Consider the following 23,580-nt stretch of genomic DNA (forward strand, 5'->3'; position numbering starts at 1 on the left):
GAGAACCATTCCCAAAGCTGTCGCGAGATCAGCTCTTCTGCCTGGCTCACTGCGGTATGTCCAATACCTAACAAAGTGTGTGGCCCACAGTAGACTCCCATTAAAGTTTTCCTAATGGAGCAAATTATTAATGTTCAGATAATTAACTTGTGTGTTAAAACAAGCATGGTGAAAAGAGGGACACTTGACTCTCAGTGACATACAAATATTATATAAGGTTAAGAAAAAAACTATTTTCCTTTTGCATTTATATGTTATTCAAATTCTACATGGAGTCTCAGGGCCTGTGGGAAGCTCTTCATTTTATGATCACTCCCTTGAGCTGATAAAGGCACAGTTCCTCAGGAGTGAAGATCAGTCACATAGCTGTCCTTTCCCTTCAATGTCTTATGTGATGTACTGCAATTCATTTATTTACAGCAAAAATGAAGATCTACACTCTTTTAACACAATAATTTTAGCAATTCTAGTATTATTTTTATTTCTACGTTATCTATTTTTATGTAAAACTCAAATGTATATTTAAAGTCTTCAGTCATTGGTGGTAGAATTACATATTTTTTTCGCACCTTAGATAAAATTCAGGATGTAAAATGTGATGATATTGATAATCAAAATGCTTGAAATAAAGAAAAGAGGGTTTCTATAAAGCAAGGGGAACTTTACCATTCATTGAGAAATTATATAATGCAATTGTAACTTTTAGGTATATGGTACACTATGATGAGTTATACTCAAATTGTCAGAAACAGAAGCAGTTATGAATAAGGCAGGAAAACAATAGGGTGATTTTTTCCTTCATAGCTTAGGATCTGAATGGTGTGTGCTTAGATGCTTTACATATTAATAGTAAGTGTTCATATTAGTAAAGTTTACTAAAGAGCGGTCATAAAACCAATTAATATGGTTTAAATATTTGTCCCTGCCCAAACCTCATGTTGAATTGTAATCCCCAATGTTGGAGGTGGGGCCTGATGGGAGGTGCTTGGGTCATATCCATCATGGCTTGGTGCGGTCCTCTTGATAGTGAGTTCTTGCAAGATCTGGTCATTTAAAAGTGTGTGGCACCTTCCACCCTGCCTTGCTTCTGCTCTGCCAAGTGAGATGCTGGCTCCTCCTTTGCCTTCTGCCATGAGTAAAAACTTCCTGAGGCCCCACCAGAAACCAAGCAGATGTCAGTACCATGCTTTTGGTACAGCCTGAAGAACTATAAGCCAATTAAACCTCCTTTCTTTATAAATTGCCCAGTCCCAGGTATTTCTTTATAGCAATGCAAGAAAAGCAGTACCAGAAGTGAAGTGGGGTATTGCAATAAAGATACTTGAAAATGTGGGAGCAGCTTTGGAATTGGGTAATGGACAAAGGTTGGAAGAGTTTGGAGGGCTTACAAGAAGACAGAAAGATGAGAGAAAGTTTGGAACTCTCTTAGGGACTGGTTAAATGGTTGTGACCAATATGCTGATAGTAATATGGACAGTGAAGTCCAGACTGATGAGACCTCAGATGGAAATGAGGCTCTTATTGGGAACAAGAGCAAAGGTCATCTTTGTTATGCTTTAGCAAAGAACTCGGTTGTATTGTGTCCATACCTTAGGGATTTGTGGGAGTTTGCACATGAGAGTGATGATCTAGAGTATCTGGCAGAAGAAATTTCTAAGCAGCAAAGCATTCCAGATGTGGCCTGGCTGCTTCTGACAGCCTAAGAAATGACTTAAAGTTGGAACTTATATTTAAACAAGAAGCAGAGTGTAAAAGTTTGGAAAATTTGCAGCCTACCGTGTGGCAGTAAAAGAAAAAGCTTTTCAAGACAGAAATTCAAGCAAGCTGTGGAGGAACCACTTGCTAGAGATATTGGCATAACTAAAAGGGAGCCAGGTGCTAACATCCAAGACAATGGGAAAAAGACCTCAAAGGCATTTCGGAGACCTTGGCAGCAGCCCCTCTCATTACAGGTTCAGAGGCCTAAGAGTGATGAATGGTTTTGTGGGCCAGGACCAGGGCCCCACGGCCCTGTGCAGCCTCAGGACACTGCTCCCCACATCCCTACTGCTCCAGCTCTAGCCATGGCTCAAAGGGGCCCAGGTCCACCTCCAGCTGCTACTTAAGAGAATGCAAGCCATAAGCTTGGGCAGCTTCCATGTGGCATTAAGCCTGCAGGTGCTTAACTGTGGGTACCAGAGTGAAGGTTTAGCAGCTTCTGCCTGGATTTCAGAGGGTGTATGAGAAAGCCTGAGTGCCCAGGAAGAAGCCTGCTGCAGGGGTTGAGCCCTCCCAGAGAACCTCTACTAGGGCAGTGCTAAGGGAAAATGTGGGATTGGAGGTCCCACACAGAGTCCCCACAGGGGCAGTGTCTAAGGGAACTATGAGAAGGGGGCCACCAGCCCCCAGACCTCAGAATGGTAGATCCACTGACAGCTTGCACCCTGTGCCTGGAAAAGCCACAGGTATTCAACCCTAGCTCACGAGAGCATCCCTGGGGGCCAACCCTGCAAAACCATAGGGGCAGAGCTGCCCAAGGCCTTGGGGGCCCACCCTTTGCACCAGTGTGTCCTGGATATGGGACATAGAGTCAAGGATTATTTTGGAGCTTTAAGATTTAACAACAATCGGGCATGGTGGCTCACGCCTGTAATCCCAGCACTTTGGGAGGCCAAGGCAGGTGGATCAGTTGAGGTCAGGAGTTCGAGACCAGCCTGGACAACATGGTGAAACCCTGTCTCTACTAAAAATACAAAAATTAGCTGGGCATGGTGGCAGGTGCCTTCAATCCCAGCTACTCGGGAGGCTGAGGCAGGAGAATAGCTTGAACGTGGGAGGCAGAGGCTGCAGTGAGCTGAGATTGTGCCATTGCACTCCACCCTGGGCAACAAGAGTGAGACTCCATCTCAAAAAAAAAAAAAAAAAAAAAAAAAAAAAAAAAAAATATATATACATATATATATATATATATATATATATATATATATATATATATATATTTAATGACTGCCCTGCAGGGTTTAAAACTTGCATGGAGCCTCTAGCCCCTTTCTTTTGGTCAATTTCTCCCTTTTGGAGTGGGAATGTTTATCCAATGCTTGTACCTCTATTGTATCTTAGAAGTAAATGACTTGATTTTTTATATTACAGGCTCATGGGTAGAAGGCACTTACCTTGTCTCAGATGAGACTTTGGACTTTGAACTTCTGAATTAATGCTGGAATGACCTAAGACTTTGGGGGATTATTGGGAACACATGGTTGTATTTTGCAATATGGGAAGAACATGAGATTTGGGAGGGGCTGGGGTGGAATTATATAGTTTAAATATTTGTCCCTGCCCAAATCTCATGTTGAATTGTGAACCCTAATGTTGGAGGCAGGACCTGGTGAGAAGTGTTTGGATAATATCCCTCATGGCTTGGTGCTACCCTCATGCTAGTGAGGGAGTTCTTGCAAGATCTGGTTTAAAGTGTGTGGCACCTCCACCCCCCTTGCTCCTGCTCTGCCATTTGCCACACTGGCTCCCTATTTGCCTTCTGCCATAAGTAAAAGCTTCCTGAGACCTCCCCAGAAGCCAAGCAGATGTCAGTGCCATGCTTCCTGTATAGCCTGCAGAACTGTGAACCAATTAATCTGCTTTTCTTTATAAATTATCCAGTCTTGGATATTTCTTTATACCAATGCAAGAATGGACTAATACACCAATCAAGAAAGTAAATACCATCCAAAGGGATTAAGATTGACTATAAATTTTAAAATATGAACATTCTGAATTTTTCTTCCTGTTATTAATGCTTAATGAAGTCCTGGAAATGGGAACGGAGAAGTGGATCCAAATACATCCACATCTGCGTGTGCTTTTTGCTGGGGCTTTATCTGCATTCTCTCTCTGCTATGGTCTGAGTGCTTGCATCCTCCCAAAATTCATATGTTGAAACCTAATCCCCAATGTGCTGGTATTAAGAGATGGGAAACAATTAGGTTATGAGGGCTCTGCCTTCATGAATGGGATTAGTGCCCTTATAAAAGAGGCCCAAGGAAACTTGTTTGCCCCTTCTACCATACGAGGACACAGAATGATGGCCCCATCCATGAGGCAGAGAGCTAGCACTCACCAGACACCAAATCAGCTAGCACCTTATCTTGGACTTTCCAGCCTCAAGGACTGTGAGCAATAAATTTCTGTCATTTATAAATTATCCAATCTAAGATATTTTGTTATAGTAGCCCAAAAGGACTAAGACATCCCCCTTAATGACTGGAGTCAGAATCACATCAAAAAATAAGGCTGAGTTGGAGCCAGCAACATTTATTCACAAGAGAAAGACAGGAATTGGACTGGCTGCAGAGAGGCCCACAGAGTCAGAGACCATCCACCTCAGCTACAGCACAGGGCTCAGCACTGTATTTCTGGTGTTAGTGCTATTCTCAATTCTGTCCCTAGTTCCTGCTACTGAGGAACTCCATACACAGCAGGACAGTCTTCTGCTGTGCCATGAATTCAAACACAATCTGTAAAGACAGTGAAGGAAGCTACGTCTGTGCTTAGGTGCTTTAGAGAATTATCGGCTTGCAGTAATAAGAGAAATGTCTGGGCTGGGTAGTCCTCAAAGACTCCCATGTGGTTCAAGATAACAAAATATAAAGGCTGAGCATCTCGTGCTCCCAACCTAGTTCTAAGGCGTCTATGGAGGGATAGTGAGTGGGGCTCTCTATGGCAGTGATTGCCTCTAATGAAGGAACCAAAAGCCAGGCAGGGATTAGGGTGGGCTTCTGGTTTTAGAAAACATGATGGTAGAGCTCTTCATAGGAAGTTTTTAAGATCAAGGTAGGATCCTGCTTGGAGGATCGTAGCCTGGCAGTCTGGATCAGCCTGGTGGTGGAGGTGAAGGGTGTGGAAGCTGGACTCACTTTGGCACACAAAGTTCAGGAATGAGTTGACAACCAAGGCCCCGTGGCTATGGAAGATCGTATCACATGACCCCAAAGTATGGCAGGGCAGCCAGCGGAGCAGTTCTACCTCTCTACCTTGGGCCTGCAGGGTGACATCAACATTGATAACATTGAAGGCATGATGTTGTCAATATTTATTATAAGCACACTTATAATCTTAAATTTGCACTTTATCCTAGCCTCCGTGGTGCCTATTGTATTTATGGGTGAGTAGTTGGAGGTGACAGAATATAATCTTTCAGTTGCATTTAAAGTTTTATGTTTCTTAAAGTTACAGAAAGTTCGTTCCCAGGACTGGGGCTAATGGCTCTTCTCCTGCTCCTTACAGATAATGTGGCACTTCCATTGCCTAGTATGGAACCAATATATCACATGAATGTGCACTTACCTAGAACTAGTCTTATATCAGGAATGAGGATCCAGGGATCCTTGCAAAGAAAGAAATAATAATTCAGAGAAACCCTACACTCTCAGGATAAGAAGGGGGAAAATCAAGGTTCCCGCCATCAACCAAATGGTTTGAGTCCAGGCAGAATCTAAACCATCACTCACAGTGCGCCATCTGCTCCAGCACCAGCCCTCCTGATTCTTTTGCAGGTCAGCAGGCATGAAAGAGTTAATAGCAAAGGCCATGAGAAACTTGCTCGCTGTTATAGAGAAATCACTTTTAGTTCCAGTTGCTGCTGCCAGAGGAGATGCTTGAGAGCAAGATAGGAAATAATAAGGAAGAAAAGGACTTTTGAATCACATGAGAGTCTTCGAGGACTACTCAGCCCAGATGTTCCTCTTATTGCTTCAAGCCAATAATTCTCTAAAGCCCCCATGCACAGATGTAGCTTCCTTCACTGTCTTTACAGATTGTGTTTGAATTCATGGCAGACCAGGAGACTGTCCTGCTGAGTATGGACTTCCTCAGTAGCAGGAACTAGGGACAGAATTAAGAATAATATAACATATATGAAATAACTGTATTCCATAACTGGAAATACAGTGCTGAGCCCTGTGCTATAGCTGAGGTGGATAGTCTCTGCACTTTAAAAGAGAGTCTTTGAGCAACTGCAGACAAAGACTGATATAACTTCTTGATTAGAAAATCAGCTGAAAGGCCGGGCGCAGTGGCTCACGCCTGTAATCCCAGCACTTTGGGAGGCTGCGGGGAGTGGATCACTTGAGGTCAGGAGTTCAAGATCAGCCCGACTAACATAGTGAAACCCTGTTTGTACTAAAAATACAAAAATTAGCTGGGCATGGTGGTGCATGTCTGTAATCCCAGCTACTTGGGAAGCTGAGGCAGGAGAATTGCATGAACCCAGGAGGCAGAGGTTGCAGTGAGCCGAGACTGTGCCATTGCACTCCAGCCTGGGCAACAGAGCCAGACTTCATCTAGAAAAAGAAAAAAAAAAATCAGCTGAAAAGACCAGAAGAGAACTCCATGAGACAGGGAATAATGGTGAGCCAGGACTATTATAGGAGAAACAGATCTGGGCCAGATTCAGGACTTCACCCATTCCAATTTTAGAGAGGAGGGCTTGGAATTTAAGGACTGAGCCCTTCCACCATCACTATCCACTCCATGCTAAGAGAACATTAGGTGGCCTCTGTTTTTAAGGCTCTGTGCTGCTGAGCAGGACATGCTTGCTATTGAGGTGGGTAGGATAGTAGGTTACCTATAAGGTTCCTTCCAGGCAGTAAAGAAACTGAAGAAAGAGCAGGTTAGGAAAAGGGAGAGAAGTGTTGGTGCAGCAGCCAGCCACAGGGAAAGGAATTTGGTGGCCTTGGAGGGAGGGAAAGTGGGGACAGTATCTTCAGTAGGATTAACATGGATTTGCATTTGAATTGTAAAATGAGAAGTTGCTTAGTCGGATCTCAGACTGAGGGTCCATGGTGCTCCTATATGTTTCTAGATTATTTGTAATATGCTGTTTATATGCATGTATATGTACAAATGTAAGAGCTCTTAGCAAACTTAAGCATACACACAAAGACTTAAATTACTTGTTTAATACAGTGGTGTCCAGTTGGTTTTTTTGTTTGTTTGTTTGTTTGTTTTTGGCCAAATTCTTTGATGAAGTCAAATCTAATTTGAAAGTTGAAGGTCTAAAACAGATAAATGCAAGAGCTACTGTGATCGAAGCAGACAAATTGAGGAGAGCAAAATCATTTAATCAAAGAGGAAGACGTGACCCAGCTCAACTTCCTGGTGGACGACCTCAGCTGTGCTGTTGTTACTAGTGTCTAACAGGAAGAGGAACCTAATTACAGCTCAGCCACTTCGAGCTGCTGAGCTTGAGCAAATTATCTCATCTCTCTGAGGATTCATTTCCTCTTCTGTAAAATGGGGATATCAGTAGCTAGTTTTAGATAACTGTGTGAGGATGATTAAATGATACAACATACCTGAAAGCACCTAGCATAATATCTGGTGAAAGCAGTGAAAGACGCTGGACAAGTGTTTGTTTCCTTTCTGCAGCCAATTAAGATTCTGGGAAACTGTAACTCTACCCAGGCTTTCCAGTAGCTTATTTTTTATTGTTCTATTGTAGTGCTTAAATAAGGATAACTTTTCCAGAGATAGCCTAAGTTTCTCATTTCTCTGGCTCTTGGAATTTCCAGTGCTTCACAAAGACTTTAGTGTTAAGAATGTAAGGTGTAGCACAGTATTTCAATAAGTCCCCAGTTCTACATGGAAGGGAGCAGTGTGCCACAAATGTTCTTGGCATTGATTCACATTTAGATATACATTTCAGTCATGACATGGACATAGATATAAAACTGAAACAAAAGTTTCACGAAATTAATAAACATAACGTGATGCACTTTTTAATTTTTTTTCATTAAAAATAGACTACTGGTCACAATCATTAAATTAATTTCACAAACCCATAATGGGCCACTGCCCATTATGGATTCAATAAACACTGTGTGATATGCACTTTGAAAACGACCACTGTATTTGGATCCAGTGTGGGAGTGATAAGAAGGAATATGGACTCATCACCAACTGCCCATATTTTTAGGACCCTCTAGAGTGATTTTTTTTTTTTCTGAAAAGCCAGAATTCTAAGATTGTCATCACATATTTTCACCGGAAATTAATGTCATTCCTTGGTTTTAGCTTCTCTGCATAGAACACTACATGCCTGAGTTTGTGTTGCCACATTTGCATGGGCACAAATAAGTTATTTTTACCACAAATATTTAACCTTCCAGTTTGAAGCTGTGCTGTGCTTAGCCTAAACAGCATAGAGAGACCAACTGTGTTTATAATTAAAGAAAAATGCTGTGCAAAGCCACAGAAGGAAGGAAGAGGCAATTCTTGTTGGAGGTATGTGTCACTGCTTTCAAGGGGTTCCCTGAGGTGCTTGACTCCACACGGACTCTTTCATTCCTGCTAGGTTGCGAATACTACACCAAGTGCTGTGGACAGAGAGATGTAGATGAAGCACCGGCCTGTAAAGAGTCTGGTGGGGGAGTCTGACAGGAAATTGTTCCAGTGTAATAGTGTCAATCATATAATTGGTGGTTTCAAATTTTGTATAGATGGGAGAGTTGTCAGCCTTCCACAGGGGAGAGGGTGGTGACCAGAGACACATGCTGACCCCACTTGAGCAGGCTCTTGGAAATACGGAAATCCTTCCCAATAGGAAAGGAAAGGTTGAAGATACAAGAGAGGGAGGGGATAACTGCTGTGCGGGCTTTGACCTGGAGATACGTGGCCCAGCTCTTCTCACAGAGCACACAGGATGCTCTGCCCTCCTATAACAGGCACATCAGGGCCCCATCTCATCTTTGTGGCATATGGAAGCAAATGTTACTCCATGGGCAGGATTCAGAGGCAGCCATGTGCTGCTCTTAGTACAAGGGCAGAGGACCCAGCATTAATGCAGTGCTTTCTATCACCTTTCCCAACTACCAGAACTTTGGCCCACCCATCTGCCTCCTCTCTCCCAGGTCTCTTGGTGCCCAGGTTTTCTCTGCATACTTGCTGCACTCTCTGGTGTCCTGGAAGCAGCTCTGCCCTCTTCCAACCTGGCTCAGCCTTGAAAGGGCCCCTTTTTTCACATTGGTGCAGGTAGGTCTTTTGCCACCATCCAAGCCTTGTTCCTATTCTTCTATCAACTTCCATCAGCTTGTATGGAACAACACATCCCCTCCCCAGTGCTCTGCTGTGCACATTGAAACTGCCCTTCTCAGATCAGAGCCCCGCCCCTGTCATCCCATGCACCTCCTACATCCCGCCCCTGACTCTTGGATGTCGCACTTCTGTTCAGACTTCATCTCTGATTTCAGCATTAGATACAGAAGCTTTTTCCTGCTAAGTCCTCTCCTCCCAGATCTAATTCACAGCCAGCAAATCCAGCTGTGGGCAGTCTTTGAGCATTTACTCTAAAGCTCTAAAGGACCCAAAGGTGATGCAAGAGCCACCTCCCTCCACTCAGAAAGGAAACACTCACTGTGTCCATTTGGCTTCAATCAGACAAACCCAAGACATTCAGAGGGATGAACCGACCTGAAAAATATCCCTAAAAACCTACTTTAACAGAAAGCACAAAGTTTCAGGAAAGAATGGAAGAAATTATAGAAACTGGAATTATACAAACTAGTAGGGGCATGGAGGCATGCACACAGCTTAGAAGAGAAGGAAGTCACTCTATCTGCTTCAGTGTCATGATGGTGTGAGACCTTGACCAAGAATGTAAATTTAAACCTTCTGGGAAACTTTGCTGTGCTCCAGCAGACAAAGAAAAGGAGGCTGAGGAAAGTGTCAGAGCCAAGGTGGACTGATAGGAGGGAGGAGCGTGTCTAATCTCAAGCAGCCTGCTCTGGTGCAAGGACACAGCCAGGAACACTGGAACTCAGGAACACTGGGACACACCTGCCAAGGCTGCCAGAGAAGCATTTCATGGGAGTGGACCCCAAGGCCAAGTCACAGGAATTGCAGTCAAGCAACATCAAGTCAAAAGACAGGCTGCAAGGTAGGAGGTGAAGACATGAGCAGAAGGCTGGAGAGATTGAGCAGAGACTTCAAAGCTGGAAATCAGACTTTAGCAAATGAGAGGTCAGGACAAGGAAGCAGGGGTATGTTACAGAGCAGACAAGAGGCAGAGCCCACCCTGGAACATGTTATTCACGGTGCCTACCATCTCAGCCTCCCCTGCATGCATGTACAACTTCACCCCTAATATCTGTTGAACAAGCAGCCCTAACCACCGAGGTTTGTAAAATGTCCTGGCCACAGGTGATTGGATCAAGATGGGGACATGCTCCCAGAAAGCTGTTTATGGGCTGTCCAGTGACTTATGACATGGCCTGGCACCCCAAGGTGGGTTGGGTCAATTAGATTATGCCACCAAACTTAGAAATGTCAGGGAAATGAGGCAATCATAGTTCCTTCTCTTGGGCTTCTCTAAGAATCCATTTCTATTATTGTTCCATAAGTACTTTATTATAGAACACCATAAGCACTCCCATCTAGACTCTCACTGAACTGCCTTGATTCAGCCTCTGTTCCCGTACAACCTGAAGACTCACCAGAACACGTATGGACTTGCAGCTGTCCAGAAGCACAGTGATGAATGGTGTGTTTGGCCACTCCATTTGTTTTCACATAGTTTCCCACAGTTTAGAAGTGCTGAAGATGAGACCTTAAAAGAGTTGGAACCCCCCTGAGTAGAAAAGAAGCTGGAATTAGCAAAATAACACAAATAGGCATGAGATTCATCCTACTGGGAGGAAGTCACCCTTACAAGAAGAGAAGCACAAATGAGGAGGACCCCCGCTCACTTAAGTGTAAAAAAAATGCTGTGTTTAGAAGCTCAGTAAGATCACAGTTAGTGACTTTTCCCAGAGGGGGTATAAGAAGTTTCATGGAGACCCAAAAGGTCTGATGGCAAGATACCTTCCCAATGTTGAGTAAGGCGCCATAGTCTGCCAAAACTCTTCAAAGCCACTGCTTCTCATGGACATAAACGTTCCACCAGAAGTGAACATGGTGGTATTTTTTGAGTGGAACAATGAAAGATGTGAGAATACAGGTGGTATTTTCATTGCTTCTTCCTACTGCCCTTTGGAACTCTGGAAGACTGAAGAATATCTAAAGATGATCAGTAGTGGACTTACAAGAATAGGTTGATATTTAGAATGAGGTTCTGAAACACAGCTTAAGATACCAGAATAAATCATTCTAGCCATGAGTGCAGAGAATCTTACAAAGACATGGGGGACTATGTTGCTTAGCGACTGATCAGCTGATCTCATCAAGAGGATTTAAAAACTGATACCAGGAGGAAGAGTAAGACAACACAATAAAATAGACAACCCACAAGACCAGTTGCTATGAATGACATCCAGTGGGATGTGGAAAAAAAGGGTTCCAGGACAGGAGGTTTCCAGTGATTCACAGGAGATAAGATTGAATCCTAGATGTAAGTGATGGCCATGGCCTTGGGTGTCCTAATGCATCCTGCAGAGAGAACAAACAGAATAACCCAGGACAATGATCACAGCCTTGTAGATATAACTGGCACCCAAACATGTCAACAGACCACTTAGAAGCAGACAGATTAATGTGCTATACATGCCTGAAGAGCTGTGTACCTAACGTTGAAAGCTCATTGATACACATATTGTGGGCATTAGCAGAAATGAGCCTGCCAGGGAAATATGACAGGTGGAGAGGTGAGACTCCTAAAACAAATCAAAGCACTAGTACAGAGATAAAAATCCAGTGGTGAGGGAGAAACCCACTGAGGAGATGTTTCCTGGAAGTCTTCTTTGGTTAAAGACAAAGTGAAAACTTCTCCAGTTGCTTTGCTACAAGTATTAGAATACTTTTGATGTAATGAACAGAAATCCTGACACAAACTAGATTGAACAAAGAAACTGTAGCATCTGGACAAAGGGTCTAGAGATAGGATTGTAGATTCCATGGTTAAGGATGGGGGGTTCCGGGATTGTAGATTCTGTGGTTAATGATGGTATCAGGAACACCAGTTCTTCCCAGGCTATTGGGCCATCCTTCCTTCCTTTCTGTTCATCTTCAGGTTGGTCGCAAGATGGATGCAGGTCTAGGCATTGCATCCAGACATGAAAGTAGCCACAGGAAAACGCACTTCTTGTAGCTCTCTGTTAAGAGCAAGGAAAAAATTATTCAAGTGCCCAGCAAACTGGCTCCTTACACATCATGGCCAGAAGTATGCCAATTTTTGAAGCAGTCACTGGCAAAAGGAATGGGACTGTGTGGGCCCAACAGGTTCAGCCCTGGAGATGGATCCCTTCTTCTGGGACACCAAGAAAAACACCATCCCCTTCTCCCCTGGCAATACCCAGCCAACCTTCCAGCTATGACTCTCCCCCACAGGCACCCTGTTTCTTCTCATGACAACTCTGCACTCCATTATCCACCTCCTGGGAGCAAACCATTTTGTAGCCTATTCCAAAAAGCTCAAGCCAGCACAGACACCACAGGGCAGCAAACGAAATCTGAATCTCAAAGCTTGCCAGACCAGCAGCGCCCACTGAGAAACTCTCCAGATAAGAGATGATCCCAGGAACCCCACCGCCTCCTGCCATGTCTCTGCACATGCCATCAACGCTCTGCTCTCAGTGAAAATGGCTGAGGGGAGGAGCTTTTCCTCTACAGACCCAACGCTGCCATTTCCCACCCCTGTGGTGGGACTCGAAGAGGGGCTGGAGAACACGTCTCCACACACATACAGCTGTGGCCTGCTTTTGGCTCTCTCCTCCCACTCTTCTGCAGCGCAAACCAGGGTGGAGGATGGTGTCAGACCCGTCTTTCGGAACACTTGTCATTTCAAGAACCAGAGAGGCAAAGCCCTTCAGGCATGTTTGGAGTCCCAGAGAGCTCAGCACAGGACTCGTGCTGCCAACACTGTGACTCTAGACTATCTTGCTGGGAATCGGGATTTCAGCTCCTCTTTCCACACACCTTCACCCCCAGCACTGGGCACCCACTTCTGCAGCTCCCCACTCAAATTGGTCCCCCTCCTTTATGACACTGGGCTTCTCTGGATTCCTGTCAGCCGTTTTCTCCAGTCCTGGGGCTCTCAATATCTCCAAATACTCACATGGGTAATGGGTTCCTTGACCCAATGACAAGCATCTGTCTCTCAAAGAGCAGTAGGCCTTTCCTAGGGCCTCTGCCATCAGCTCTGCTGCCCTTTGCTGCCCTCCCCTGGCCATTGACATCACTGCAGGTAACTCTTCAGGACTCTGATGGGTTCATTGATACATCCATTCAAAAAAAAAGTATTTAGGGGCCCTGTGTACCACGCGATGTCCAGACACTGAGGATTCAGTGATAAAAACACATGGCGCCTGCCTTCCAGGAGTACACAGTCTAGTGAGGAAAATGAGAGAGAGGGAGAAAAGCAGAGAGAGAGAGAGATAATGAATGAATGAGAATGAGAATGAAAGAAGGAATGAGAATGAGAGAGAGGACTTTTTGAATGGGAATGAGTGGATTCTGGTGTGCCCTTGTGGAAGTCTAGATTTGCTCATTGTTCTGCAGACCCGACTGCCTAACATGTTCACCTGAAAAGGAATCCCCTGGCCTCCCCTTTGGAAGTGGAGTTGGAGAATTTATTTTAAACCGAATATTTCTGAGCAAGTGCAAAGCACCCTACCTGGCACTGAGGTATAATGGGGAAATGCTGGTCCCATCCCCCACAGAATTTACAATCTGGCTGAGGAAATAGACATAAGAAAATAATTAGATTGTTTAATAACAGTTATGGTGTTACCTGGTACTGTATTCTGTCTTAGTCATACCTAGCAAGAGCTCCACACAGCAAGGATAGGGCATGGGGTCCATGTTTTAGGGGGTAGAAGGAGTGAACCACAGAGAGCACAGCCCGTGCACATGGTAGGCACCTCAGGAAGTGCTGAATGCATGAAAGAGGCTGCGCAGCAGACAAGGCTCCTGGGAGCCAAGGCCAGTGTCTCCAGCCAGCTCAGCTGAAATCAGCAGCTCATGTGCTCCGTTCTTCACCTTCAGCATGCCCACTTCATCCTGAAACTCTCTTCTACCCACCACCTCATCTCCAGATGCAGATCCTAATGTCCCAGACAGGACTGTTGGCAGGTTCCAAGTCAAGTGAAGGATAATTCAAGAGCCACAGTCCAATAGTGCAGGAGCCATATCTGCTCTATTTGCCATTGTATACCCAATCCTTCACATAGTACCTGGCACATAGGAGGTACTCCATAATTCTGTGACGGTTGTTGAATGAATGCATGGATTTTGCATAACTATTCAGGCAAGAGCTTAGCTTCTATAGAGAATTTGGTCATGATTGGATTCATTTGATCAGTGGAAGCAGCCATTCCAGTTTACTATAGAAGTAACATTCCAGTTACTATAGAAGTAGATTTAGAACCTAATTTGGCCTATTGGCTACAAAAAGGGTACAGACTCTGAGTTGTAGTGAGACTGCCAGTCTACCTGCAGGTCGATGAGGGCTCCTCCATCCTCCCTGGGCTGAGATTTAATAGTGCCTCTTTTTGCTCAGCCTGCTCTCTAATCCTCAGGGTGAGAGATCAGTATGAACTGACAGGTCTGAGAAATCTTCCTAGGGGAGGAAGAAGGGTTTCCAGCTGCAAGGAGAGAGCAGCGTGCAGTGACAGTGAGGCACCAGGATGTAGAACAATGCTGCCAGAACATATTCCCTGAGGTTTGGGAATGAACTTCTTCAAGGGCTGTGCTCCCTTTTTGATGGGTCCTAGTGGGCCTCTGTGCTGGTCGTGACCGACTTTTCTTCAATGATCCAGTGGAGGCTGCAATGTATTTTGCTTAAAACTACAGCTGGTTTATAATTTTGGCCTCAGACAGTAATTACAGCTGCTGGGGCTCCTTGGAGAGATAATTACGGAAAGAATTCAGCATATTCATTTTATCTACACACTTAACCATCAATTAAATCATTACCATCTAATCCTATTCCAGAGTCTAGAAATGTTCTGTGAATATATAATTTTGAAGGCACTGAAGTTTGTTTTCAGATGGTTTTAAGTGAAAAATTGCCCAATTTCCATAGCCAATGGAGGCTTTCTCTATGAAAGCAGAGCCGAGAGTATCTCCTGGCTTGTGGTTGCTGCCTCCCTGGGGGCCTGCACCACATAAAGGGCCAAGCAGGAATGGATTGATAGGCGGGAGCTGGGACTTTGCCTTTGATCTCCCATGGAGTTTGTGATTTTCCAAAGCAGGATTAGCACTGGGACTTAGAGGTCAGTGGCTGGAGACAGACAAGAGGGTGGCTTGTTTTGCCAAGGAGCTTCCAGGAGAGTCTTCCCCTGCTGGGATTCTGCTAGGGCCCTGGGCTGTCATCCACTTATCAAAGTCAGGATGGGGTCTTTTCACTTTGGGAACCCAGGAGAGAGTGTGGTATTTAAAAGCATGAGTGCTGGAGCTGGCTTCACTTTCTGGCTTTGCCATTTTTGAGTTGTGTGTCCTTGAGCAAGTTTCTAAATTCCTCTAAACCTCAGGTTATTCCACTCTTTAGCAACACAACAATAGATCCTACCTCACAGAGCTGTGTGAGACTTAAATGAAAAAATGAATGTAACATGTTTAACACAGCATCTGGAACTTAATGGATGCTAGGTAAACTTTGATAATTGATATTATTCAACATACATGTATGTACAAGAAAAGGAGAGAGGCAGAAGGGAGAAATCAAATGTCCAAAAATGTGCTTCAGCGGGAACCAGGGCCTCTGAAAGCATATGTGGCATGGGCTGGGACTGCCCCTGGGCTTCACTGTCCAGCCTTGGACTCCACGGCTGCTCTCTGCTCTCTCTGACCTTGACTTCCCTTGGGGATGGTCGCCTGGGAACCTCTGACTGCAGTCCCCCTCTGTACCCCTCCTCCCTGACCCTACCCTCTCATGGCTCCAGCCTGGTGCTCCTCCAAAAACCTTGCTGCACTGCTGGTACCCTGAATATGCCTGTTCTCCTCCTACACTTCCAACCATCCTTTTCTCTCTTTCTCATGGGCTTTCGCTGGCTGACGGTGGGATATAGTCATGCCTCAAGTTTCTGACCTAAGTCACTTTTTGTTTTTTTCTACACCACACAAAGCAGCATCTGGGAAGACGGCCCACAGGGATGCAACTGCTTCCTGGCCTCTTTCAGCCAGGGAGGCAATTTTTCTAATAGACAGGAGTCTTGGGCTGAATCCTCTTCAGACTGTTCCTAACACTGGAATCCCAGAGGCACTGTCTATACAGTGGGGCCCTGAGGAAGTCTCCTCTTTGTGAGCTGACTCTTCCAGATGGCTGCACTAGTCCTCTGGCCAGTGTTTGGGCTCAGACAATCCTACCCTACTGTACACGGTACGTGGCTCCTGTGCTGAAGTTACTAAAAAGCCCAGCTCTTGTAGCTGGCATAGAACTGGTCACAAGGCTGGCTTTTGCCCTGGCATAAGCCGCGTCTATGTGGGAGCCCCAAGCTGGGAACCAGCCCCAGGCACAGCATCAAGTCCACGTGGCAGACTTGCCTGAAAAACACCCACTTGACCTTATAGTTGTGCCTATCACCGAGCCAAGGGCTGCAAAGGAAATGAAAAGCTCCCAACTGCTGAAATCATGGAGCTGGAATATCAAGTCTCTATGTTCAAGGATAATCATGGTTATCGTTGGAAGGACTGTACAGTGAAGATTAATTTTTAACCTCCTCTGAGAGTTGTAAGAATTAAATAAGTTAATAAATGCAGAACACTTACAAGAGTGCCTAGTACCTAATGTGTGCTCAATGGATATTAGCTATTATTAGTATCATTATTATTAAAGGAGAAACCAGGCTTCATGAGGTTTATGGAGTCTTGGCCAGAAACACTGATTCTCCTGCTTTGAGAACTCTCAGGAGGGCTTACTCTTGGGCTGGTCCTCCTGTCCAGTGATCTCCAGAGCCAGTGACAACATGACAACTTCCTGATCCCAAACATTAGCATGTGGTATACCACAGGTACCACAGGATGGTCTTTTAGGAACGTAGATCCTAGCACTTCCCAGAGCAAGGGAAGAAAAAGCCCTCCCTGGCCATCCCCCCCAGCCTCTCTGCCTTGATTCCCTCAAGGGGAAGCAGGAGGGGATGCCCACAAGCTCCCTCTCCAGAGGCGGAAGACCAATACCCTCATTTCTCCTTGCTTCTCCTCCCCTCCTCCTGGAGAATGTGGGTAGGTGGTTCCTGCCCTGCCCTTTCTGTCTGTGAGCCCACTTTGGTCCCTGGTCAGCTCCGCAGGCCTCCTGCAATCACTGCTGAATCATGAATGATCCACTGGGCAGTGAGGACCCAATCCCTGAGGGGAGCTTGGGAGAGAAGCATGGGACACATCAGCATCGCCAGGGCTGTCCACCTCAGGGCCCAGAGGCATACATCCTGGTGCCCTTTTGCTTCACTATTTGCAGTTTGGCAACATGGAAGTGTGTGTGTCTGCAGAGCTGGTGAGGTCACTCTGTCTGATGCACCACTAAAGCTTTCCAATGTTCTGGAAGTGTCTGATTCGGGGTCTGATCAATCTTGCCCTCATATCGCTGATTCTCTGAGCAGGGACAGATGTGGCCACCTTCCTGTACCATAGTGAATACCTCAGGGAACTGCCTGCCCCCTTCATGACTCACCCTGGTACCTCACCCCAATTCTCCATCTTTCTCTCTGGCTCTCCGTGGCTTCCTTTTATAGGTTAGAACCCAAGTTCCTTAGAGGGCACACAGAGGCCTTCACAACCTGACCCCTCTCTATCTGGAGGCACAGCCCATCACTGCTTTTGAACATTTTATGCCCCGGCCCCAGCACACAGGCCACTTCTAGTACCCTGGCAACACTGCTCTGTGGTGCCACTTTGCTTTTGCTCATGCTGTTCTCTTTGTCTGCGATAGCTACACAAAGCTCCCTCACAAACATTCACTTCCTTCGAACTCAACATACAGATAAACTTTTCTCTGTATATATATCTTTGTGATAGCTCCCACAATCCTATTTTGTAATTTTGTGTTGGTTTTACTGAATCAACTATGAGTTCCCTGAGAACAGATACTGTATCTCATTCATCTCTGAATCCTGAGGCCATACAGATAACCTTTTCTCTGTATATATATCTTTGTGATAGCTCCCATAATGCTATTTTGTAATTTTGTGTTGGTTTTCCTGAATCAACTATGAGTTCCCTGAGAACAGATACTGTATCTCATTCATCTCTGAATCCTGAGGCCATTGTGTAGGCCCCAGCGTACAACTAGGTGCCCAGTGTTGGCTGAATGAGAGCAAGAGGGTGGGTTCAGCTTCTCATTTGCTCAGCATGAAGTGTGCAAATTCCTTCCTGACTCAGAAATTAGGGATCCTTCATTGACAGTCATTGTATGGTTTCAGAAGATTGCACGTTCAAATGTCTACACTCGAAAAAGCTGAATGAAAAACACCCTCACCAACAGCATCTCATGTTTTGCCTAACAGCATGAGCTCTGCCTCTCTGTAGGGGCTTTAAGCAAAGCCTTGACAGTCTGCAAGGAGAGAATAGCCATGGGGCTCGGGGTCCCGTGAACTTTGGGATATTTCACAAATATCCTAAATATTGTTGAGACAGTCTAGTGACTTTGTGAAACTGAGGAGAAATGGGGAGGCCTTCTCTCCGAAGGGCTTCAGAGCCATCTGGTTCTATCTGGGATTTATTCTGAATGCAGCCTTTACAGTGAGAGGGCGCCACACTCAGGTGCAGGGATCTGGCTTGAGACTTGGGGAAAACATCATTGCCTTTGATGGCGCCTGCTAAAAGCAGTGTGGACACAGACACCTCATGCACATCTTCTCCGTTCAGGGCTCCAAATCCCTGCTGCGGCTCGCCTCAAGGCGGAACGGGGTAGCAGCACACACCTCCTGTTCCAAGGAAGACAGCATCTGCTGTGAGTGTGCCGCTTTAGCAAGATGACTGTGCTTTATTGATTGCAATTTCATGCTGCGATTATGCACGTCAATCTACGCTGAAAATGGCAACTGTGCCCCCTGCATCTCCGATGTTGTGTGGTGTGTGGTTCTGTTTTCCAGACATACTGAAATAGTTTGAAAAAGTGGCAAAACCTGCTCTACAGAGCAAAAAGAATTATCTTAAAATAACTCACTTTTCATAGGCCTTCAAACGTCATTCTTTAGCAGGGCCCAATGAGTGAGGGGCAGGGTCTCTACAGCTTCCCCAGAGACCTGAACCCCTCTTTTCAGTCGTGGCTTCACGGTGGATGGGTCATCACTAAGGATGAGAAGGCTGCCAGGCCCAGTTGACTGGGGTGGGGCAGATTCAGGGCTTGAGGTGGAAAGGAAAACTGGGAGCAGCAGGGGCTTAGTCTTCACAGAATGAAGGAGGGTGGCCAAGGGTGTTGCTGATGGAACCAGGGAGGAGAAGCCAAGACTCAGAGGGTTATAAGAAAGTGGAGGAGCAAAGGCATCAAGGAGCAAAAGAGGTCAGGCATGGTGGCTCACACCTGTAATCCCAGCGCTTTGGGAGGCCAAGGTGGGCGGATCACTTGAAATCAGGAGTTTGAGACCAGCCTAGACAACATGGCAAAACCCTGTCTCTACTAAAAATACAAAAATTAACCGGGCATGGTGGTGGATGCCTATAATCCCAGCTACTCAGGAGGCTGAGGCACGAGAATTGCTTGAACCCAGGAGGCAACAGTTGCAGTGAGCCAGCCTGGGCAACAGAGTGAGACTCCACCTCAAAAAAAAAAAAAAAAAAAAAAAAAAAATGGAGCAAAAGCGACAACCTTGCCAGGCCACCCTGAGGTGCATAGATGCATGGAATGTGAGGGACTAAGTGGCCTCTTGAGAGTGCTACAAAGAAAGTGTTGTGACTTCAAAAGAGAACCAGGATTCAGTTGAAGTGAGAAAGTGGATAGAAAGTTTACATGAAGGATTAAGGATGTAGGGGAGGTAGGTGTGGAGCACCAGAGGAAGGCTGGAGACAGTGGAAGTGGGGGCTGGTTTGGAGAAGGGGAAGTACAGGGCAGGATATGATGACAGTAGGGACAAGAAAAGCAACTGGACTGGGGGTGTGGAAAGCACAGCCTGCCAGGTTTGATCTCAAGGGGCAAAGTCTGCTTCACCCACAGGAAGCAAGGTGACCAGGCTATCCTAGAAAATAAAGCCACAGCCATCCTCAGACCAGCTGTTCTCCTAGAGTTGTTTGAGAGAGGGCCTGAACTGTCTCTCCTCATGTACCCATTTATTCGTCCATTCCCCAGTGTTTGTGAGCATTGGGTCTGGTGGGCCCCTGCTCTTCCCACCACCTTAAACCCTCTCCTGCCTGCCCAACTACCACCCCCTCCCCTGTGCCCAGCTAACTTCTCAACTCCTGTCTGCCTTCTCCCCGATGCCAGTCATTGCCCGCCTCCCAAGCAGGCATGCTTTGCCTGTAATATGATCCCTCCGATGAATAATAATCCAATGTTACATTTTCTACTCTATCCAGACCACTGTGCTCAGTGCTGTACAGGCATCCCCAGTTTAACTCTCACCCTGTGAAGTAAACAGTTTTGTCTCCCCAGATAAAAGAAGCTGAGGCTTAACTAATTTATCCAACATCATGAGGCAAATAACTGGCCGAGCTATCAGATTAAGGTAGATGGTATTATTTCTTCATGGTTATATGCCCCAGCACACTCTTGTCAGGGTCTTGACTCCAATGACTTAGGACTCGGGCCTGGGATTTGCTTCAATCAATAGAATATGAAAGGATGACAACATGCCAGTTCCACATGTTTCTACTCACCCCCTTGAACTTTTAGCATCTGTCATGGGAATAACATGCGCTGGAAGACGGGGGCTTCTTCAGCTCGGTCCTGGAACAAGAAGACGCAGAAGTAGATTTCTACCTGTCTGGCAGAGCTGCAGCCAACCACAAACTCATCAGCAAGAAATTAGTGTGTATTGTTGTAAGCAACTAAGATTTGGAGTTGTTATTGTAAGAAAAGCTGACAAAATACAGATTTAAACTCACAGTGTTCCTCCATCTCTGCCTGTTGGACATAGCTACCAAGCTTATTTGGGTCCAAATGCGGACTTACTTCTCTCCACCTGTTAGGAAAGGCTTTCTCTCTTCATTATTTTATCATCAAGATGAATCTCACAACCTACTGGAATTCCAGTTTAACTTTTCTTTTCCTTCTCTTGCCCTCTCCCTGGAAAAAGTTTTACACATGCCGACACATGTCAGCAAACCTCTCAACCTCACATCTGTGCTGGTCAAGCGGCTTTGAAGACACAGCTATACCAGTCAGAGCACAATCAGTTTCTGACATGGTCAGTGTCGGGATCACACAGTAATGCTGGTTTTAAAAGACTTTTCTTTCTCAGCTGTTATTATTCAGCTCACTTAACAATTAAAACTAGAACAATGCCTTAGAATTTTTAAGAAAATTCTTTTGTTTCCATCCTGCTGGCACCGATTCATCATCCTTTATGACTTCACATTCCCAAATGATTTGTGATGTAGGTTTTTTGCTAATGTACTTTCAGTTGTTTTGCTTCTGATGTTTCCTCCCCACCTAATCAAATGCTTCAAAATAACCATAATTTCTAAACCCAGTAGGACATAGGACATGCACTGAATAATATGCACTAAAATTTATTAACAGAAAGCCCTTTGTTTTTAAAACTCTGAAAGCTAATGGAATACTCTTTTTTACTTTAGAAGGCATGCTGTGTTCTGTGTGGTTTTCCCACAGATGTGTTTTTAAATGTTGCATTCTGTTAAGACTAAATGTTGTATTTGCAAAGATTTTACTCCCCCAAAGCAGAACATAATTTCCCTCGCTATCTTAGCTTGAAAAGGCCTGAAGTGAAAATGTATGACTTTGCTTATGCAGCTTTTCTTCTCCTCTTCAGATAAAAGAACCACATTTTCCTTTGAGGACTCACCCCTCTTCCCCCTCTAACCATGTGGTTTGGGTAGAGGCATCCACATCCTCAGCTCCAGGAATGTCTTTGCATCTCCCCAGGCTTAAGCCCAATCATCACATTCAGGGATTGGTTCGGGGTGAGTGTGTGACCCAATTTAGGCCCAGGAATTTTGTTGGAACTATCCGGAAAAGTCACATCTTTCCACTGGACTTGAAGCTGTGAGGATGCAAATGTGGGGTTGTTGGCTGCTATCTCACCATCAAAATAATAGAGTGCACTCCGGGATGGAGTGAAACAAAAGAAAGCATACTTGAGAAGTAGAGAAGGTGATAATGAGTCCTGATGACACTGTCTGAACCTCTGGATCCAGCTGTGCCTGAAACTGTTCCTTGCAAGGGACTAGCATGTACCTCATGACCGACAACAACAAATCTGACATTGCTGCTGGTTGGATTCCAACTCTAGAGAAAGAGATAGCTAGAAAATTAGTCTGCACACACAAAAGCAGAGAAAAAATACACAAAATACCCAGTGGTTAATTTTAAAATGTGAATGAGCAATCAAGGGTCACTAAGTAAGACAGAACTGACAGCATTAATAGAGGTTTATATTTAAAACACACACACACACACACACACACACACACTGAGGAAAAACAAACAATGATAAGAAATCAAATTCAAGTGTAAAATAAATCAAAAGTATAGTAATCTTAAGTAATTAACATGTAGAAAATCTACTCACAAGCACTTCTGCTTGTTGCCACATTGGCCTCAAGTATTAGATAAGAATGTCCTGGCTCCCAGAGGCCTTCTCACTCCTGATTCTGTTCCCTGCAGTTCTCCTCACTCAGAAAAGCTGCTCTCTGACTCTGTCCACTGCTTCTTTCCCACAGAGGTGTAGGTACGTAAGTTGGGGCCATTTCAAAGGCAATCTTCTCTCATCCTCTTGTGCAATGTCTTGAGAGGCTGCTCTGAAGAAGTTCTAATTTTTGACAAAGTTTTGCTTCTATACGGTCAAAATGATCTCACTGGGGTTTCCACATGTTGCTCCTGGTCTGTCCATTAGGACAGCTCTGAACGTCCCCTTCCCTTCCAGAGTGCTTTTGTTTTTATTTTTGCCTTACCCATACTCCTTTCAGAGAGACTGGTCCTTAGAGCAGAACATAAATTCCATACAAGATAGCAATGGAGCCAGTTGCCCAGAGAGCTTTGAACGGGACAGTTATCACACCCTGAGTCAAGTAGAATGCTTTGGGCTTCTAGGAACAGAAAACCTAACCCAAACTCCTTTTTATGAGGTGAGGTTTTGCTCTTGTTGCGTAGGCTGGAGTGCAATGATGCGATCTCGGCTCACCACAACCTCCGCCTCCTGGGTTCAAATGATTCTCCTGCCTCAGCCTCCCGAGTAGCTGGGATTACAGTCATGCACCACCACGCCCAGCTAATTTTGTATTTTTAGTAGAGACGGGGTTTCTTCATGTTGGTCAGGCTGCTCCCGAACTCCCGACCTGAGATGATCCCCCTGCCTCGGCCTCCCAAAGTGCTGGGATTACAGGTGTGAGCCACCGCGCCCGGCCCTGAAACTCCTTTAAAGAATAAAATGAGGCCGGGCACCGTGGCTCATGCCTGTAATCCCAGCACTTTGGGTGCCTAAGGCGGATGGATTGCTTGAGCTCAGGAGTTCTAGACCAGCCTGGGAGACATACTGAGACCTCCGTCTTTACAAATATAACAAA

The 23,580-nt window shown here is 45.3% G+C and overlaps 1 protein-coding gene and 1 long non-coding RNA gene across 8 annotated transcripts in view, besides 5 other annotated features; one reads left to right on the forward strand and one right to left on the reverse strand.

Annotated features, from left to right (window-relative positions):
- The window catches only part of SYT9 (synaptotagmin 9), a 230,266-nt gene that overhangs the window by 190,883 nt on the left and 15,803 nt on the right, over nucleotides 1-23,580 (forward strand). For 2 of the 7 annotated variants that reach the window (XM_011519902.3, XM_011519900.3), the window contains exon 7: nucleotides 21,828-22,064. The exons of 2 other annotated variants lie outside the window; for them this stretch is intronic. In XM_011519902.3, coding sequence (XP_011518204.1) covers nucleotides 21,828-22,064 — 237 coding nt within the window. Of the gene's footprint in view, nucleotides 1-3,129; nucleotides 16,679-21,827; nucleotides 22,065-23,580 lie in introns of those variants that run through there. 3 more of the 7 variants (XM_011519901.3, XM_011519904.3, XM_047426378.1) reach the window with 3 other exon arrangements.
- Nucleotides 7,024-7,073: an enhancer, noted in NCBI's record as "active region_4360". NCBI's record gives its function as "activates an Ori minimal core promoter by ATAC-STARR-seq in GM12878 lymphoblastoid cells {active_cell/tissue: GM12878}" and the evidence as "EXISTENCE:reporter gene assay evidence [ECO:0000049][PMID:35858748]".
- Nucleotides 7,967-23,580, reverse strand: part of SYT9-AS1 (SYT9 antisense RNA 1) — a 28,209-nt gene continuing 12,595 nt past the window's right edge. The window contains exons 4-5 of the long non-coding RNA NR_103855.1: nucleotides 20,713-20,782; nucleotides 7,967-12,059 (exon numbers count right to left, since the gene is read on the reverse strand). This is a non-coding gene — a long non-coding RNA (SYT9 antisense RNA 1). The remainder of the gene's footprint in view (nucleotides 12,060-20,712; nucleotides 20,783-23,580) is intronic.
- Nucleotides 12,918-13,212: a silencer, noted in NCBI's record as "tiled region #13298; K562 Repressive DNase matched - State 12:CtcfO". NCBI's record gives its function as "represses a minimal TATA promoter and a strong SV40 promoter by Sharpr-MPRA in K562 cells {active_cell/tissue: K562}" and the evidence as "EXISTENCE:reporter gene assay evidence [ECO:0000049][PMID:27701403]".
- Nucleotides 12,918-13,230: a biological region, named in NCBI's record as "Sharpr-MPRA regulatory region 13298".
- Nucleotides 13,181-13,230: an enhancer, noted in NCBI's record as "active region_4361". NCBI's record gives its function as "activates an Ori minimal core promoter by ATAC-STARR-seq in GM12878 lymphoblastoid cells {active_cell/tissue: GM12878}" and the evidence as "EXISTENCE:reporter gene assay evidence [ECO:0000049][PMID:35858748]".
- Nucleotides 21,904-22,415: an enhancer, noted in NCBI's record as "NANOG hESC enhancer chr11:7472795-7473306 (GRCh37/hg19 assembly coordinates)". NCBI's record gives its function as "activates a minimal SCP1, AML or CMV promoter by ChIP-STARR-seq in primed H9 embryonic stem cells {active_cell/tissue: H9 hESC(primed)}" and the evidence as "EXISTENCE:reporter gene assay evidence [ECO:0000049][PMID:30033119]".

The sequence above is a fragment of the Homo sapiens genome, chromosome 11, assembly GCF_000001405.40.
Source record: "Homo sapiens chromosome 11, GRCh38.p14 Primary Assembly".
In the NCBI taxonomy this organism is placed as follows: domain Eukaryota; kingdom Metazoa; phylum Chordata; class Mammalia; order Primates; family Hominidae; genus Homo; species Homo sapiens.